The sequence below is a fragment of the Homo sapiens genome, chromosome 14, assembly GCF_000001405.40.
Source record: "Homo sapiens chromosome 14, GRCh38.p14 Primary Assembly".
In the NCBI taxonomy this organism is placed as follows: domain Eukaryota; kingdom Metazoa; phylum Chordata; class Mammalia; order Primates; family Hominidae; genus Homo; species Homo sapiens.
The window spans coordinates 69,652,987-69,671,462 of NC_000014.9; the positions used below are offsets into that span (position 1 = coordinate 69,652,987).

General features: G+C 45.0%; 1 protein-coding gene across 1 annotated transcript in view, besides 4 other annotated features; it reads left to right on the forward strand.

The window, feature by feature from the left end:
* Nucleotides 1-18,476, forward strand: part of SUSD6 (sushi domain containing 6) — a 103,549-nt gene that overhangs the window by 41,391 nt on the left and 43,682 nt on the right. Inside the window, exon 2 of the mRNA NM_014734.4 lies at nt 5,527-5,727. Within this exon, the coding sequence (NP_055549.1) occupies nt 5,607-5,727 (121 nt within the window). The 5' untranslated portion in view covers nt 5,527-5,606. The remainder of the gene's footprint in view (nt 1-5,526; nt 5,728-18,476) is intronic.
* Nucleotides 4,713-5,493: an enhancer, noted in NCBI's record as "H3K27ac-H3K4me1 hESC enhancer chr14:70124416-70125196 (GRCh37/hg19 assembly coordinates)". NCBI's record gives its function as "activates a minimal SCP1, AML or CMV promoter by ChIP-STARR-seq in naive H9 embryonic stem cells {active_cell/tissue: H9 hESC(naive)}" and the evidence as "EXISTENCE:reporter gene assay evidence [ECO:0000049][PMID:30033119]".
* Nucleotides 14,150-14,389: an enhancer, noted in NCBI's record as "active region_8643". NCBI's record gives its function as "activates an Ori minimal core promoter by ATAC-STARR-seq in GM12878 lymphoblastoid cells {active_cell/tissue: GM12878}" and the evidence as "EXISTENCE:reporter gene assay evidence [ECO:0000049][PMID:35858748]".
* Nucleotides 14,820-14,939: an enhancer, noted in NCBI's record as "active region_8644". NCBI's record gives its function as "activates an Ori minimal core promoter by ATAC-STARR-seq in GM12878 lymphoblastoid cells {active_cell/tissue: GM12878}" and the evidence as "EXISTENCE:reporter gene assay evidence [ECO:0000049][PMID:35858748]".
* Nucleotides 15,010-15,069: an enhancer, noted in NCBI's record as "active region_8645". NCBI's record gives its function as "activates an Ori minimal core promoter by ATAC-STARR-seq in GM12878 lymphoblastoid cells {active_cell/tissue: GM12878}" and the evidence as "EXISTENCE:reporter gene assay evidence [ECO:0000049][PMID:35858748]".

Genomic DNA, 18,476 nt, shown 5'->3' on the forward strand with positions numbered 1-18,476 from the left:
CTTTTGAGCCTCAACAGAGTCTACGGAGATAGTCAAAGCAAGTAACAGCCCCATTTTACAAATGAGGAAACAGGGGCAGAGATGAAGTAAGTGACTTCCTCAAGGTCAGAGCTGTGGCTTGAGGGCAGTTTTCTTCCTCATTGGAGGAACTTACGGACAGGAAGTGAGTGTCCACGACATCACATTCAGTAGGGCAGTCACCCAGCTGTTGATATTCTAGGTTTACAGAGGTGGGAGAGGCTGCCCTTTTGGGGCTGACGGTCGAGCTGAGGCCTCCTGCTACCACCAGGTGTTGGGGCAGCAGCACTAGTTCCCAAGAAATAAAATCAGAACGGTGACTCTCCTTACCTGTGTTTTGAAGAGGAAAGCCGGCTATTGGGGTAAGAGATGGATTACAGCAAGAGAAGGGTAGAAGCGGTGAAGAATTCTGTGGCCTTAGAGCCTTTTTCAGATGTGGAAACAGAAGGCAGAGAGCCTTCATGACCAGCTCCCTGGCTGGTGGCGGAGGTGGGACTGAGTCATTGAGGCCCTCTCCTCTGTCTCAGCTCTAAGTTCAGATGTGATATTCCTTGTGAGGATGGCCGAGTGCTAGTTTTGAACTTGATGCTTAGTTCTAGGTTCCTCTTCAGTGATAATTTTTTTTAATTAGGAGGAGTAGTCACTAACATGCCAAAGGAATACTGAAGTGAAATGGATTCTTTTTGTTTAAACAAAGTTTTAGCCTCAGTATTTCTCTAGGGATAATGAATACCTAGTGAAACTTTTTTTTTTTTTTTTTTTTGCTTGGTGTACTAAAGCCACAATCCAAGGACAAGTCTTGTTTTTTTAAATTCTATATTCAAGGCAGATTATTTCTTAAAATGATTAGATTTATACTGTGGCCCTTTCTCCACAGTAGCTGGGTTCTCCCATTCTGGGCAATACTTTGGAGATTTAGGGGTTAGCTTTCCTCTGTTTTATTTCTGAAGCAGTAACCCTTGGCCTAGCCTTACATATAAACACCCCACTGACTACCTTCTATTTATCTTTTCTTTGCAAAGCCCTCATTTCCATCACCCCGTCTGTTCTGCACCTGTCCCGTCTTAGGCTTCAGGATGGAATTGGTTCCTCGACTCAGGTAGCTGCTTAAGCAGTAAGGGAGGAGCCAGCTATTCCTGCAAAGCAAAACCAAAAACAAACAAAAAACCTAAAACTGATCAGGAACTCATACATGTACATCTTGTCTGCTCCATTTCCATACCGGCTCCTCCCCACAGTATTCATGATTTTGGCAGACCTTTGCTACCTGCCTGTCAGATGCCAGGCCTTGTGCTGGCTATTGAAGATTCCGAGTTGAGTAATTCACTGTCCCTGCCTTCAAGGAAGTCTCAGCCTGGTGTGGTGAGACAGATAAACAAATAGATACAATAACCTGTTAAAGGTACAGTCATAGCAGGGTAAGAAGGGGTCATTTCTACGTTGGAGGTGGGTGTGGTGTGAAGTGTCAGGAAAGAATTCCTCTAGATGACCCTTGTGCTGAGCCCCTAAAATGACTCTATTCCTGGTAGAGGGAGCAATTAGGTTTTTGGGATTTGTTTTAATGGCAGTTTGTTGAGAGAGGAGACAAGTGGTCTATAGGAAGGCCTTGCTACATTAACTTAACATTTTGTTTGAATAGATAATACATGTACAAAGTACAACACTCAATATAGTAAAAGGGAATATATGCAGTTAAAAATTTTTTTTCTCCTTCCCCGTTAACCACTCAGTTCCCCTCCCTGAAGGCGACCATTAGTTACCAATTTCTTTTTTTTTTTTTTTTTTGGTGTGTGTGTGTGTGTGTGTGTGAAACAGAGTCTCATTCTGTCACCCAGGCTGGAGTGCAGTGGCACAATATCGGCTCACCACAACCTCCGCCTCCTGGGTTCAAGCGATTCTCCTGCCTCAGCCTCCTGAGTAGCTGGGATTACAGGTGCCCGCCACCACACCTGGCTAATTTTTGTATATCTAGTAGAGACGGGGTTTCACCGTTTTGGCCAGGCTGGCCTTGAACTCCTCACCTTGTGATCCACCCGCCTCGGCCTCCCAAAGTGCTGGGATTATAGGCATGAGCCACTGTGCCCGGCAGTTACCAATTTCTTATGCTTTATTCCAGGTGAGTTTTTCCGTGCTTATAGGGGTGTGTGTGTGTGTCTGTCTTTCAAAAATACATGCATATACCCAGGTTATTTTTTTCACATACTAATTTTAGAAGTCATTCCATATTAGCACAGGTTGAATTGCCCTGTTCTTTTTAAACCTCTGTACGGTATTCCATTATATTGGGTGTACTATAACTTATTTAAGTATACTCCCCTTTCATGAACTTTTAGGTTACTTCAGTCTTTTGCCTTTACAAACAATACATGAATATCTTTCATATATGTCATTGCACATGTGATTTCTTAGGGCACATTCTAGAACTGATAAGTCAGAGTATATGTGCATTTTTTTGGAATAGTTATTAACAAGTTGCTCTCCGAAGGATTCTATATTGATTATAAAATGCTAGCCAGGCAGAGTGGCTCATCCCTCTAATTTCAGCCCTTTGGGAGGCTGAGTTAGGAGTATCACTTGAGGCCAGAAGTTTGAGAGCAGCCTGGGCGACATAGTGAGACATCCTCTCTCTTTAAAAGAAAAAAAAAAAAAGTTAGGTGTGGTGGCGTGCTCCTATAGTCCCAGCTGCTTGGGATGCTGAAGCAGAAGGATTGCTTGAGCCCAGAGGTTCAGGTGAGCTGTGCTCACACCACTGCATTCCAGCCTGGATGACAGAGTGAGACCCTGTCTTTTAAAAAACAACCAAAAAACGCCAAAAAACTAAATTTAAGATTCTTTACCATTTGGCCGGCCCCACTGCTCTTCCCTTGCCTGTCCCCTCACACCCCACCAAAATCCTCTAAAATCCCTGCCAGTATGATCTTCCTAAATGAGTTTAGTCTTATAATTTCCCTGTTTAGAATCCTTGTAAGGGTAAAGTTTAAACCCCTCTGCTTAGCCCCTGCCTCCAGCCTCTGCCAGGAGTAATGTGCTCCCATAGTACTCTGATCCACTTGTATTTGGTGCTTCCTTTTTTTTTTCTTTTCCTTCCTTCCTCCTTTCCTTTCCCTTCCTCTTCCTCTTCCTCCATTCTTCCCTCCCTCCGTCTTCCTCCATTCTTCCCTCCCTCCCTATTCCTCCATTCTTCCCTCCCTCCCTCCCTCTCACATCCTTTAGGACTCAGCATCACCTCCTCTAGGCAGTCTTTCCTGACTACCACCACTTATGCACAAAACACCTAAGCACTACCTTATGTGGCCTCATTTATTCACTGCTTAAATATTTTTTATACACGTGCTGTGATGTGGCACATGCAGGTGTCATTCTTGATGATCCACTGGTTATTGCCTTGAGGGGATGACAACTGCCCGGTAGGGTTACCTGGTGTGACTGCACCTAAAACAGCAATACCAAAGGGCCCATTGCCAGTTCTGTCACTGACCAGCTGGGGCCTCTGAGTATATCCCTTAACCACTTTGGACCTTAATTTGGCATCTGTCAAATGAGATGGTGGAACTTGAGGAACTCTAAGGCCCCTACTGTGCAGGTCTTATTAATGATTACAACAGCAGCAGCAGCCAGTGTTTACTGAGGACTTACAAAGCACCAAGCACTTTGCCAGGCACTTTGTCTATCCTAATCCTTACATCAACTCTACGAAGTTAGTATGGTTACTATCCCTATTTTACAGATGAGGAGACTAAGGCTAAGAGAGGTTATATGACTTGACCACAAGGTCATAATAAAGAAACAGATTTGAATCCAGGCATTCTGACTTTACTGTTCTTAGCCACATAAATGGGCACACATTCGACACACAGTTTTGTGTACTGTTTGGTGGTCACTCACAGACTCCATCCCAGACCTCTGCATGAACCATCCCTGTTCTACAGTTTTAAAGGCTCAAACTGGAGTCTGGGTGAAACCTGGGGACAGAAGACTGCTATAGTCACAATTATTAGAGGGAAATGGGTGAGGACCAGTGGCCAGCTCTGTTCATGAACCTTTGACAATTCTCACAGAGAGTCTTGCTTTGGACAGAGACAACTTACGTTGCTGTTTTCAGTTACCCTCTTTAGGAGGGGAGAGTAGGCCTGAGTCATGCTTCAGACACAGATTAAAATCAGATTTGGTACCAGGTGCAGTGGTTCACGCCTGTAATCCCAGCACTTTGGGAGGCTGAGATGGCGGATCACTTGAGGTCAGGAGTTTGAGACCAGCCTGGCCAACATGGTGAAACCCCATCTCTACTAAAAATACAAAAATTAGCTGGGTGTGGTGGCGGGCACCTGTAATTCCAGCTGCTTGGGAGGCTGAGGCAGGAGAATCACTTCAACCCGGGAGGTGGAGGTTGCAGTGAGCCAAGATTGTGCCATTGCACTCTAGCCTGGGCAACAGAGCAAGACTGTGTCTCAAAAAAAAAACAAAATCAGATCTGGGTAGTATCCCTGGCAGAGTCCCAGGGGCATCCTTTATTAGGGTTATAGATGGCAGACTCCCTAATCTATGCATATAAAGCCTTATTAATGGAGAAGGGGGTGTGTGTGTGTAACTTAAAAAAAAGAAGTGTAATATTATATGGAATACCTGTTGTAAACTAAAATAACTGGCAAATGAAATTAAATAAGTTAACTGAAATATAATAGGCCCACACCATAATGTATTGTAATGTATCGTCAACCCATTTACCTCCCTAAAGGCTTATAGAAAAGAATCTTTAAAGTCTTGAGCTCTGATACACACACTCTTTCTCACTCTCTCTCTGTCTCTCTACTGGTTCCTATTTTTCTGAAGTCTTTGTCTGAACTAGAGTGGGTGGGTGGTAGGGCTAGTTAGCAATTGCAGCCCATTCTCCATGCCTCCCCCCGTCTCATCTTTTTCAGGGACAGCCAACATAATGTGGTCACAGGTGTGTTGGGTGAGCCTTGATTAATGAGATTCACGGCTGTCGAGTCAGGTCCTCCGGCTCATCAGCCTTTGGCAGTTTAGCAAGCAGGCTGGGGCCCTCAGCTCCCACTGCTGCATTCCTTCTCTAGGCGGTGTATTCTCTCTTTACGACACGTGTTCTCTCTCTTTTTTTCCTTTTGGTTAGTTGAACTTGTTCTGAGTCCAAGTGGCAAAGGCAAAGCCTGACTTGGGTGTAGCAGCTCTGTGTCAATAGCCGTCTCTCTGCTGGAGCCTCCAGGCAGGCGGTGGGGCAGAGCTGGGCAGTTTCTGAAAGCCCTGCTGTGCCTGACTGCCATCCAGGTGAGACAGAGCTCACCTCCTGGCTTCTGCACGCTGCAGGCCTTGTTTCCCCAGGGAGGAGTTGAAAAGCCACTTCTGTGCTTGCCTCTCCTGGCAGCAGGGATTCGAATAGTTGCTAGAATTCTCTCAACTTTGTGTGTGATTATGGCTTCCTTACCAAAGTGGCTGCTTTTAACTAACTTATGGCTGAAGTTTTCACTTTATGTCCTTGTTTGTTTGTTACAGGTGAATCAGCTCCCGGCCGACTTTAGGATTCTTCTGGATTTTAAATTTTTTCTTTTTAAAAAAACTTGGACGGATAAAAGATGTGCCATGGCAGGATAGCACCAAAGAGCACCTCAGTGTTTGCCGTGGCCTCCGTGGGACATGGAGTGTTCCTTCCGCTAGTGATCCTTTGCACCCTGCTTGGAGACGGACTTGCTTCCGGTAAGTCCTGACCTGCCTTCTGTGTGTGGGTGGGAAAATATTTAATACCATTGTTTCTCTCGAAGACTAGGACAGGGGACTCTCCTCCTGGCAGGCGGTTTCAGGGAGAGCAGAGGGTGGAGGGCTTTTGTGGTAAATATAGCAGGGAGCCAGTCCTTCTGAGGTCTAATGAGTCACCTGGAGGAGGGGCGTGTGGGAGCCTGCTGGTGGTAACCTTGTCACCCCTCTCCCCCAGCCATAATCATCATCAGGAGGACAGAGGTGTAAGGTTCAGAGCACAATATGCAGGTTAAGGGGACAGACTTTGGAATCAGACTGCCTGTGTTCAGTGCCCATTCTCACTACTTGCCTGCCCTGTGACTCTGAACAAGTTATTTTACTGCTGCAAGGCTCTGTTTCCTCAGCTGCAGAATGGGATAATAATAATACCTACCTCACTGGGTGGTTGTGAAGATTGAGGTAATAAAATAAGTATGTAATGATTGTTAGCTGTCTTTTGTTTGTTCGTCTTTCTGCGCTTTTTCTCAGAATGAGTGGGTAGTTGAAGTATTGTAATTTAGTGAAAATAAGACCCGGTCACTGACACTACAAATGTTGTGATCTTGGGCAAGCGACTTAACCATTCTAGGGCTCAGTTTTTCCCTCCATCAGATGAATGGGTTTACCTGGAATAACATTTAAAGTCACTTCTTTGCCCCTCAGTAAATGCTTTGATGATTCTAAGGACTTTGTGGTTGAAGATGGTGAGCTGGACGGGCCCTAGCAGGGGCTAGACATGCCCCATTGAGCCTTTTTGTTTGTTTGTTTGTTTGTTTGTTTGTTTTCAGAGAGTCTCACCCTGTTGTCCAGGCTGGAGTGCAGTGGCACGATCGTGGCTCACTGCAACCTCTGCCTCCCGGGTTCCAGCGATTCTCCTGCTTCAGCCTCCCGAGTAGCTGGGACTACAGGCTCATGCCACCACACCTAGCTAATTTTTTTATTATTTAGTTGAGACGGGGTTTCACCATGTTGGCCAGGCTGGTCTTGAATTCCTGACCTCAGGTGATCCACCCACCTTGGCCTCCCAAAATGTTGGGATTACAGGCGTCAGCCACGTGCTCGGCCCATTGAACCTTTTTGAGTTTGTACAGCCCTTGTTGCCTTCAACAGTGCTCCAGAGACCCTTCTAGGCAGTCTTTGTGTGATCTTCTAGACAAAATGTCCTTAAAGGACATGTTTGGGTGTGTACGGTAGGCCTCTGGGTGGTGTGCCACAACCTACCTCTGTGTCTACACTCCAGAATCATCATTGAACTCACCAATACTGGTGTTCCTACTGGACTTTGTTAGAAACACATACATGGCAGTTTCCTTGTCCAGTGCTTCCTGGAGAGGGATCTCAGAACTAGATCCTGGAAGGGGACTTTGGTGGGGACAGTAGGGGAGTGGTATATTGTGGCTGTAGAGCCTCCATAGTTTAGTGCTACTTCTTTCATTCTCTATCAGCTCCCACCACCCACTTATCCAACATAAACAGATAATGGCACAGTCTCAGCTAATCTTTTTTTTCTTTTCTTTTCTGAATTGTTGGAAGAAACAATTACAGATTTTTTTGTTCATTGTAGCCTTCTCCACTACCAACATATAGATGTGCCTTTCCTTCCACCCTATTCTGACACTTAACCCAAGCCTTTTCCCCCTAGGCATGAGGAGCCCCTGGCACAGCCCAGGGGGCCATGATGATTGGGACCCCACAATGTGGCCATCATGGTTATATGAGGTTTCAAAGGAAGAGAAGACCAGGCTATACCAATGTGCAACAAAATGAAGCAGAGCCTCCTTTCATAGGGTCACCCCAAAACCAGAGGAGGCCTCTAGAAGTGCTAGTTGCAGAACCACAGAGTGTGGTTGACTCTCTTATTCACCACTGTGTCTTTAGAGCAGAAGTTGGCAAACTGGCCCACAGGCCAAATCCTACCTGCCATCTGCTTTTGTAGAACCTTCCAGTTAACTGTTTATATTTTTAAATGGTTGGAAAAATCAGAAAGATATTTCATGACATGTAAAAATGTATATGAAACTTAAATTTCAATGTCTATAAAGTTTTATTGGAACACAGCAGTGCTCATTCATGTATATATTGTCTATGGCTGCTTTTGTGCTGCAGTGGCAGAGTTGAGTCGTTATGACAAAGACCATGTGGCCTGAAAAGCCTAAAATGTTGAGGCTTTAAAATATTTGGGTCTTTGTAAAAGAGGTTCTTCCCCAGCCCAGAACAAATGGTGCTCAATAAGTATGCATGTGAATGGAATGACTGTCAGAGCAGGAAGGAAGGAAGGCCTAGTCAAAACCAGCTTGGGCTTCAGAGAACTGTGCACTTGCTGCCCAGAATCTCACAGCTAATGGTAGGGCCAGGACCTAGCCTGGTGCCTGGCATACCACTGTGACCTGCCTCTTCCAAGGCTCCTCTAAGGAAACTGCCCTGGCGTGTGGTGTTAGTGGCATAATGTCTGCCTTAAGCCTCTCTAGTGTCATTAAGCTATCCTATTTACCCCTAACCTCCCTTTTGTTGGCTTCATCCCTCCCATTCCCCACCTCATTTTCCAACTACCCACACCTTCCCAGCTTCCCACTCAAGATCCGAAATCCATTATCAGGTTCCATACTGGCTGGATAAAGGGATTATTATTTTCCACTGTGGAAAAATGTGTCTGTTTATAGTGTGGGCTCAGACCAGGATGGGAAAGTTGGCTCTGTTGTTTTCTTTCCCCTCCCCCACCTGAAAGAATGCTCCTTCCCTGCCACCCCAACCTCCAAGTCTTTTCTACTCCCCATAAAACATGTGTACTGGCAGGGGAAAGGGGTTCACCTTTGCTTAGATCCTGTGTACTAAGTTGCTACCAATGTTTTTCCCTTTCTTTGGAGTAGCTTCTAGGGGAGTAGGTGCCCTTTCTAGGCCTGAAACCCAAAGCACACCTGTATGGCCGTGCCTGGCATAAGCAGCATGCCAAGCAGGCTTGTCCAGAAACCAGGATCTCAGATACTCTGAAGCCGAGGAAAGGCAGTTTAATTCAGGAAAAGCCTCTTTTCCTCTTCTTGTGTTTCTTTTTTCTTTTTATTTGTTTTAGAGATGAGGTCTTACTCTGTTGCCAGGCTGGAGTGCAGTGGTACAATCATAGCTCACTGCAGCCTTGACCTCCCAGGCTGGAGCAGTCCTCCCATCTCAGCCTCCTGAGTAGCTGGGACCATAGGCATGCACCACCATGCCCAGTTAATTAAAAAAAAATTTTTTATGTTGCCCAGGCTGATCTCGAACTCCTGGGCTGAAGTGATCCTCTCCCCTCTACCTTCCAAAGTGCTGGGATTATAGGTGTGAACCACTGCGCCTGGCCTCCTTCTTGCATTTCTTACCTGTTCTTATAGCTGCTCCTGAACACCCACTTCAGAGACATTTTTAAGTGGGTGCTTGTAAAATATACAGCCTTGCTATCCAGTGGGCTGTAGTAGACCCTGGCTATATGCGTGTGTACAGGCACATTCATGACTCTGAGAATACCACTAGACATAGGTAACTGGGCATCCTCTGGAGACAATTTGTCTGCATCGTCTCTGGTCGTAGATACCACAGTCATCATAATCTGTATCATCTCATCATCAAATATCACAGTTTTGATCACAGTCTAAGGTAGGAAGAATCAGGTACTTGAGAGTTCTGGAGTAAAATTACATCATGTTTAAAGTTCAGTTTCCATACTGGTTTCTCTCATCTACAGCTCGAGATTTGCAGTTATAGCAGAAAAGGTGTTAGAGAGGCATTGGGTCCAGCTTTCCTTTGGTCATTCCTTTAAATGGGGAGAATTATTGATAAGTTTCCTTTTTAAGAGTGGCAAAAGGAGGCGTATCTTATTCTTCACACCTAGTCACACCATGCAGTGGATAGACCAGAATTAAAAATAAAATCTATGCACATGCTATCCAATTTGCCTTTCTTGGACTAGGCGGAATTAAGATCTTTTCTCTGTAGCAGCCTTTCTCAGGTCTCCAAGTCTTTCATTTTACCTGTAGTCTTAAGAAACTTGCTGTATGACCTGAGGCAAATCACATGACCTCTTTGTGTCTTTTGCAAAACAGAAACAATAATCCTTAAGAATGTTAAGTTGGTGTTGTGTAGACTAATAAAAATGATTGGAAGGCAGGCACTTGGCATATAAAATGAAGTGTGTGATGTAATTCCCAAATAACAACAACAGAATTGGTATGTGACCTACTGTTGAGTTACAAGGTGCAGTAGACTTTTTATGCAGTTGATATTCTTTGCTGTCATTGAAACACAAAACTTAAGGTGCAAAGTACTGTTTGAGTTGGGGATAAGAGATTTTTGGAGCAGTTATCAAATTTGACCAGTAAGGAGGGATTAATTTACTTCAGGAATCCCCATTGCTTTCCAGAAAGCTCATGTTTGCATAGTTTGATCTTAATCCAACTGGCTTGCTGACTCATAAAAAGTTTTTGTTTGCATTCTCTTTCTTTCCTGAGCTTATTTACTAAACAAACTCAGTATTTTACTTGTTTCTGATTTTTTTCCCCTTAAAATGTTGCCATGACATGTTAGGCCGTGTTAAACATCACACAATCACCTAAAACAATTTTAGAATAGCAGGGAAAACAGCCATCTGCATTTCTACATGACAGAAAGCCAGGCAGTTAGTTTTCATTGAAAATGGAAAGTGTTGAGAACTAGGTTCTCTGGGAGATGACTTGGCTTTAGCCTGTAGCAGAGAGATGTTGGCAGGTGGCCCTGGCTCACCTCATCTTGGAAGGACCCTCGAGTCAGAGAGAATGTACACTGAGTTGAGAGGAGAAAACAAATGGGAAACTAATGTGTATAGAGCATCACTTATGTGTCAGGCTCTGTTATCGTTCCATATAAAGCTCTCAGAACACCCCAGCTAGGCAGTTGTGCAACCATTTTATAAAGGAGAAACTGAACCAGAGACAGGTTCAATAACTTGTTCAGAAACTGATGATTTTAAGTGGTGAGGCTGGCTGGGATTTGTGCTCAGTATGTCTGACTCTTGCCTATGGTCTTTTCTGGGAGCCACGCTACCTGTGCTGAGTGACAGGCTTCACTGAGACCTGTTTTTTGTATTTCCTGTTTGAAGTGCTCAGATCAGCCTCCAGAAAATTATTCTGATGGAGGAAGAAAGAGATGATGTTTTCTCCTGATGGATAAAAAGGATACAAGAGTCATCTCTGGGTCACCATGTTTCCCACTATGGTTGTTTCTTTTTTTTTTTTTTTATTTGAGATGGAATCTCACTGTGTTGCCCAGGCTGGAGTACAGTGGCGCGATCTCGGCTCACTGCAAGCTCCACCTTCCAGGTTCACGCCATTCTTCTGCCTCAGTCTCCCGAGTAGCTGGTACCACAGGCGCCCGCCACCACGCCCAGCTAATGTTTTTGTATTTTTTGGTGGAGATGGGGTTTCACAGTGTTAGCCAGGATGGTCTCGATCTCCTGACCTCATGATCCTTCCACCTCGGCCTCCCAGAGTGCTGGGATTACAGGCATGAGCCACTGCGCCTGGCCCTCTGTGGTTGTTTCTGTTCTCATCTACAGTGGCTCTTGGTTGTTTGGTTCCAGTTTAGGCACAAGGTTTGCCAAGGTGGTTCTATTCTTGGAAAGGAACAATAGGGACGTAGTAAATAGTTTGCTAAATGAGGATATAGTTCCCAAAACATCCGCAAAGCATCTTCCTGTCAGCTGCAAACCCTGTTGATGAAAGTGATGTAATCTCTCCATGGTGTAATTACCTGTGACTATAAAAAAAACTTAGAGATTATGGTAGGAGGCTGGATGGGTCATTATAGTTCTCGATGAACCCTAGTGTCATGAAAAGGCATTGAGAAATTACCCTCTGCACACTAATTGTTGTGCCATGTTTAAAACATTGACAACACATGGTACCACCCTCGCACTGTAACTTTCTAATAAAAGAAACCCAGAGTCCACGTAACTGGGTCCCTATTGGGTTAAAGTCCTCATTAAACACAGATTCCATCTGCTGAGCAATGGTGCCCCACTACCCTGCTAACTTGCCAGCTTAGAGGTTATTCTTCTTACCTACCCGACTTTCTGCAAAAGAGAGGCACAGGATGCTAATAAAACAAAAATTAGGGTTAACACTCAGTCTTCAATGATTCTAGGTAGGTTTCCAGATGAACACCTCTCACCACTTCTTACCCACTGGAAGAGTGCAGTGCATCACTTGGGAGTGGGAGCCTGCAGAGGGTGTGAGGAGCCCTTCCAGGTGGCCTGTGCTGGTGTGCCTGGCTGCCTGGACTGGGATCAGATCAGGAGAGACCTTGGCCTGCCTCAGATTTAGCTTTGGGGCCCAGAGGGACAGAAACATTTAGAGATAACGTTTCCATGGTGCAATGTGAATGAGGAGTTCCCTGGCTGCTGACTTCTTTCCAGCCCTGTTCATCGACCTCATCTTCAGCTAATTTAACACATGAAAATCCGAATTCACTGAAAGATGAGGGTGTGACTATAACTTTTTTTTTCTGAGACAGGGTTTCACTCAGTTGCCCAGGTTGGAGTGCAGTGGCTCTGTCACAGCTCACCGCAACTTCTGCCTCCTGGGTTAAAGTGATCCTCCCGCCTCACCACCTTAGCCTCCTGAGTAGCTGGGACTATAGGCATGCATCACCACACCTGGCTAGTTTTTTAAAAATATTTTTGTAGAGATGGGTTTTGCTGGGTTTGCCCAGGCTGGTCTTGAACTCCTGGGCTCAAACGATCCACCCGCCTTGGCCTCCCAAAGTGCTGGGATTACAGGCATTAGCCACTGCACCTGACTGACTATAACTTTTTAAGAACAGGATTGTCCCTAGGATTTCTTCACATAGCTGTCTCTTATGAGGTGGAGTGGGATTCAATTCATGTACACCTCAAAATAGTAAATACCACCTGCAGCTCTCATGGAGCCACTGAGATCATGAGTATAACTGAGTATTATATCTAGGTACCATTATGCTTCAACTCTTCACCTTGTTTTTTGGAATGACTGCATAGTCTGATGAAAAGCATGTACTCTGGAGTCAGATTGTCTGGGTTGAATACTGCTTGCATTCCTTGCTGCTTGTGTTGCCTTGGATAATTTTTGTGACTTCACTGTCTGTATTTCACCAGAATGGGGATGATAATGTCTGCTTTATAAGATTGTAGTGAGGATCAAATAAGATAGTATATGTAAGGCATTTGGAACATTGCTCGGTACACAAATAAATATTCCCATATTGGAAGATCAGATCCTAGCACCAATTGATATCATTCCACACTTCTGGTTTTATGACACCACAGCTGCTTGGTTCAGACAGACTCAGGTTGGAACGTGCTCCCTGTTTCTTCCATATCTCTTGGATTCTGTTTGAATCAATTCAGTGCATACTGAGTAGAGTTAGATCCTTGATATTCGTGAGGTTTTCTGAGTCCCTAAATTCTCAAATAACACATGTTGGTTTCCCATACATGAAGACGAGTAGCAAAGAGTGGTAAATGCCCTTCTGAGATGTTGGTGCTGGAGTGAGATCAGCTAAGTGATCTCACTGTGAACTATTTGTTCTCTTCAGGGAGGCTACCCTGTTGGTATTTCAGAGCTGATATTCCTCAGGGATGCTATTTGTTAGGAACATTTGGAGTCAGTTTTGAAACTTTACATATTAAATATGAGAATGCCAAGGATCTGTTCTTTTAAAGACATTTTTTATTTCGTCAGCACAGTGATGTGATTGGAAGGTTGCATTTTACATGATTCCAAAACACAACTGGGAGAATATAACATTAGAATTAAAAAATAAGAAATATCTTTTTCCCATTTGGTAGTCCTTTTGCTTCCTCTTGCTTTTCGTAGCTATATTGGTATTTCTTCTTTTAGGAGCCCCTTTCTACCTAGATTTATTGGCATCCCTGGTGATGGAGATTTTTTTCTTGTTTAACTTCTTTGACTTATTAGCTTTGCCAGTAACCAGATCTTTTAAAGGAGAATTGTTTAGTCATCCAAAATTCTGGGAAGTAGTGCAGGGAAGGTAAACAGATTGTCTTCAAGATTTCTTGGCCAAGTTTTTTTTTTCATTCTTTTTAAATCACAAAAGTATTTTTGGTATTTCAGTGGGGAGGGGGCACAAAATGTGTTTCAGGAAGTTATGACCAAGTAAAAACAGGGCTATAAAATAATTCTGCTTCATCCTTTGTTATTCTGAGTAACAAGTGACACTCTATGAAATACAAAGGGCTTGATCAATTCTTCCCATGTAGTAGACACATGTCTCCTTGGGAGAGGGCGGGACCTTTGTGTTTATTGTCACTGGCTTGGCTTCTGATGATTCGGCCTTGTTGACCCTGGCTATGGTAAGAGGCACCAGAGAATGTCATTGGGATTGTTGCACACTAGACTATGACTGAGTGGGTATGAGGATCAGCCTGTCAGTGTTTCCTGAGCACTGGTCTAGGCACAGAGGGGTTTGGTGGCAGATAGGAGAAAAGTCTTGGATTTCTCTTTTTCCCTGTTGATCTCATTATGATCCAGAGGCTGGATTGCAAATGACCCAGTGGAGTCTTCAGCCAGTGCAGCCCCACTAAGGCTCCTTGATAACTGTGCATGGTTGCTCACAGTTTCTTTTTTTTTTTTTTTTTTTTTTTTGAGACGGAGTCTCGCTCTGTCGCCCAGGCTGGAGTGCAGTGGTGCAATCTCGGCTCACTGCAAGCTCCGCCTCCTGGGTTCACGCCATTCTCCTGTCTCAGCCTCCCGAGTAGCTGGGACTACAGACACCCGCCGCCACACCCAGCTAATTTTTTTTTTTTTGTATTTTTAGTAGAGACGGGGTTTCACCGTGTTAGCCAGGATGGTCTCCATCTCCTGACCTTGTGATCCGCCCGCCTCAGCCTCCCAAAGTGCTGGGACTACAGGTGTGAGCCACTGTGCCTGGCGGTTGCTCAGTTTCTGATTAGCGGCCCATGAAGTTAGCTGGAGCCCTTCAGTAGGCTGTGTGGCTCTCTGTTTTATACCTCTCACACACCTCTCTGAGCTTTGATATCTGTACACACTGCTTTCGGTTTTATTTCTTTGGTTTTGCTCTTTGTTTTTGATTCTTGTTCTTTGTTCTTGATTCCATATGTGTTTGCATATAAGCTCGTTGAACACAGAGACAAAATCCTTTTTATGTTGCTCCTTTGCTACAGCCAGGCCAGTGATCATCCCAGTAGATCCAACACACGCATTGTGGGAAAGGTACTCCATAGGTGGGTTTACCCCATAGGATGATCCAGAATCATGGCTTGTCCTCTGTGTGAGGAAAGCAGGAGCAAGTCCAGGGCCCAGTGAGCAGTAGCAGTGTGTGGGGGCTTCCCACTGAGTGATGGTTCCTCATAGTATTCTGTCCCCAGCCTTCTGGGGAGGAAGTGGAGGAGCACGTGAAAGTGTTTTCATGCCTCAGGGATGCAGGTGGTGGGGCTCTTCTGTGGAGAAAAGAGAGGGCCCAGGCAACCTGCCTAGAAGAGTACGTTGCAGAGTATGCTACCTTTAGCTTGGGTGAGGATTTCGAACCCAGTGTGGATCCTGTTAGGTGATGAAGAGTTATATAGTTTGAAAGTATATCCCCAGCTGGGTGCAGTGGCTCATGCCTGTAATCCCAGCACTTTGGGAGGCTGAGGCGGGTATATCATTTGAGGTCAGGAGTTTGAGACCAGCCCGGCCAACATGGTGAAACCCTGTCTCCACTAAAAACACAAAAATCAGCCGGGCGTGGTGATGCACACCTGTAATCCCAGCTACTTGGGAGGCTGAGGCAGGAAAATCGCTTGAACCTGGGAGGTGGAGGTTGCAGTGAGCCAAGATTGCATCACTGCACTCCAGCCTGGGCAATAAGAGCAAGAATTCGTCTCAAAAAAAAAAAAAGAAAAGGAAAAGAAAGAAAGTATACCCCTACCAAATCTCATGTTAAATTGTAATTGCCAGTGTTGAAGTTGGGGCTTGGTGGGAGGTGTTTGGATCATGGGAGCAGATTCCTCATGAATGGCTTGGGCGATCCCCTTGATGGTGAGCTCTCTGAGTTCACATGAGATCTGGTGGTTTAAAAATATGTAGCACCCCCTCCCCACCTCCACTTTCTCCCTTTCGTTCTCATTCTCACCATGTGATGTGCCTGTTCCCTCTTTGCCTTCCACCATGATTGAAAGCTTCTTGAGGCCTCCCCAGAAGCACATGCCACTATGCTTCCTGTACAGCTTGCAGAACCGTGAGCCAGTTAAAAAAAAAAATCTCTTTTTTAATGAATTACCCAGTCTCAAGTATTTTTTTTCTTTTCTTTTCTTTTTTTTTTTTTTTTTTTTGAGACAGAGTCTCGCTTTGTCGCCAGGCTGGAGTGCAGTGGCGCGATCTCGGCTCACTGCAACCTCCACCTCCCAGGTTCAAACGATTCTCCTGCCGCAGCCTCCCAAGTAGCTGGGATTACAGGCATGTGCCACCATGCCTGGCTAATTTTTGTATTTTTAATAGAGACGGAGTTTCACCATGTTGGCCAGGATGGTCTCGATCTCTTGACCTCGTGATCCACCTGCCTCGGCCTCCCAAAGTGCTGGGATTACAGGCCTGAGCCAGTGCTCCTGGCCTCAAGTATTTCTTTATAGCAGAGTAAGAATTGCCTAGTTCAAGGAGGGAGGAAAGGTACGCTTTCATTACCAGTGGGAAGTGAAGGAGGAATGTATATGGAAATCATGCTGGCTGTAAACATATCCTGACATTAGAGAGGGGCATGAGAGTGCCACTTGGGTGGGGTTTGGCTTCACTTTCTTGCCTACTGCCTTTGCAGCCACAGCTTCCTCTACCTCTACGTCTGTTTCTAAAGATCAAGGCTAAGGGACAACTCCTTCTCCCCTAAACATCTTCAAGCTTATTCTCACCTGGTTCTTCCTGTGGCTAGAATTCTACCTCCTGCCTTTTCCTCCCATACTTCTCTTTATCCTTCAAAGTCCAACTTAGCTTCTTCTGTGGAACATCACCCATCTCTCTTACCACTAGAATTAATAGGGTCTGAAGGAAGGAGAGTGGGCTTTGTGTGTGTTTATTGAATGGAATTAACAAGAGCTCCTAGTCGTAGTTCTTTCTCTTGGGAGGATGTCAGACAGGTTTTCCTAGGAGCAGGATTCCAACTCTTAGAATCTTGACTGACTTTGATTTGAAAGGATTGGCCAGCTTTTTATGACCTCTGGTAATTGCAGCTTTGGGGAACTTGAACCTTTTGTTCTGTACATCATGGTACATGAACGCTATAGACCTTGCTCCAAACCCTAATGACCCTGGGTTTTGGTAGGGTTGCTGTGGGGCAGATTGGGTTTTGTATTTTCATGAGTGTTAACTCCTTAAGCAAGTATGTGTTGACATAAGGTGGGCAGGAGCTATGTAATGCCACAGAGGGCTTTCTGGGGATGAGGTACTAGGCTGGATCTTGACAGAAGTTAATCATATGTAGTAAGCCTGTGAGAGGAGGGCAGCAGCAGCCAGGAACTGTGCTCTGCACTGGAGGAATGCAGAGTTATGGTTTAGCACTCTGATTTATTCCACAGGTACTCGTTGAATTCCTGCTGAATGCCAAGACTGTGCCAGCTACTGAAAATAGAACAATTCCATGTGATACATGCTATAATCAGGAAAGTACTGCACTACACAGGAATACTCATTAGGGGGTCTCCTGACTCAGCTTGAATTGGTCATGGAAGGCTTTTCTGAGGGAGAGAAGTCTACACTGAGATCTAAAGGCAAGTGAGTTAACGAGTATGGGGAGACAAGGTGGCATAGTCAGGTGAAGAAGGCAGTGCCTTGGGCCAGACACGCTGGTTTGAATCCTAGTTCTGCCAGTAGTGTGTAATTTTAAGCAAGTTTCTCGAACTCTACGTCCCTCAGTTCTTCATATCTGTAAAATTGGGATGATAACGTACATACCATATAGGGTTGTGGTGAAGATGAAATGTTGCTGTTATCATCATCGTTGTTAAAATGTGGCACTTGCCAGTGGCAGGTACAGCCCGCTGTTGCGGGGAGTCTGGAGGGAGGAGAGGAAGAGAGTATGGTGTCTGCTCTGCTCATCTCAGCACTTCCTTTCCTGGGAACTTCCCATGTCACTGTTGAAACTTTGGATGTCCAATATACTGTATTCCCTAAACTAATTTGTTTCTTGCCCTGTGAATGAAGAAGTGTTCTCTTTCACTCTGGTGGAGTATGTTCAGTAGCTGTAGTTTCAAAAAAGAAAAATAAAGTCTAACCTTAGCCTAAGAATTCAGGGATTTAGGTTGAGCACACCAAAAGCACAGTTTGAGGAAGCACCCAGATAGGACTGAGATGCTGCTAGTGGAGGCAGGTGCCTGTCCTGGCTGAATTGTCAGAATTGTGGAGGAGGAGGAGGAAGAAGAGAAACAAGCTCTCTTGGAGTATCCTAAGGATCAAAGAGTTAAAGAAAAAACAAACTCTAGCTAATGAATCAAGAAGTTGAATGAGTCTAAACAGGAAAGGAAAGAGGGTTGGAAGGAGGATGTTAATTTTAGGTACAATTTGTGGGAGAGGATTGGGGATGAGAAGAATAGCAGTGGGCACCTATTTGCCTATGGGACAGGAAGTGATGGGCTAGGTGAGGCTGCCCTTCTGGTCCGAGGGAAGAGGTCACTCAGGACAGGCCACAGGAGTGCATGCTTCTTGACTCTCATCACCTGGCCTCAG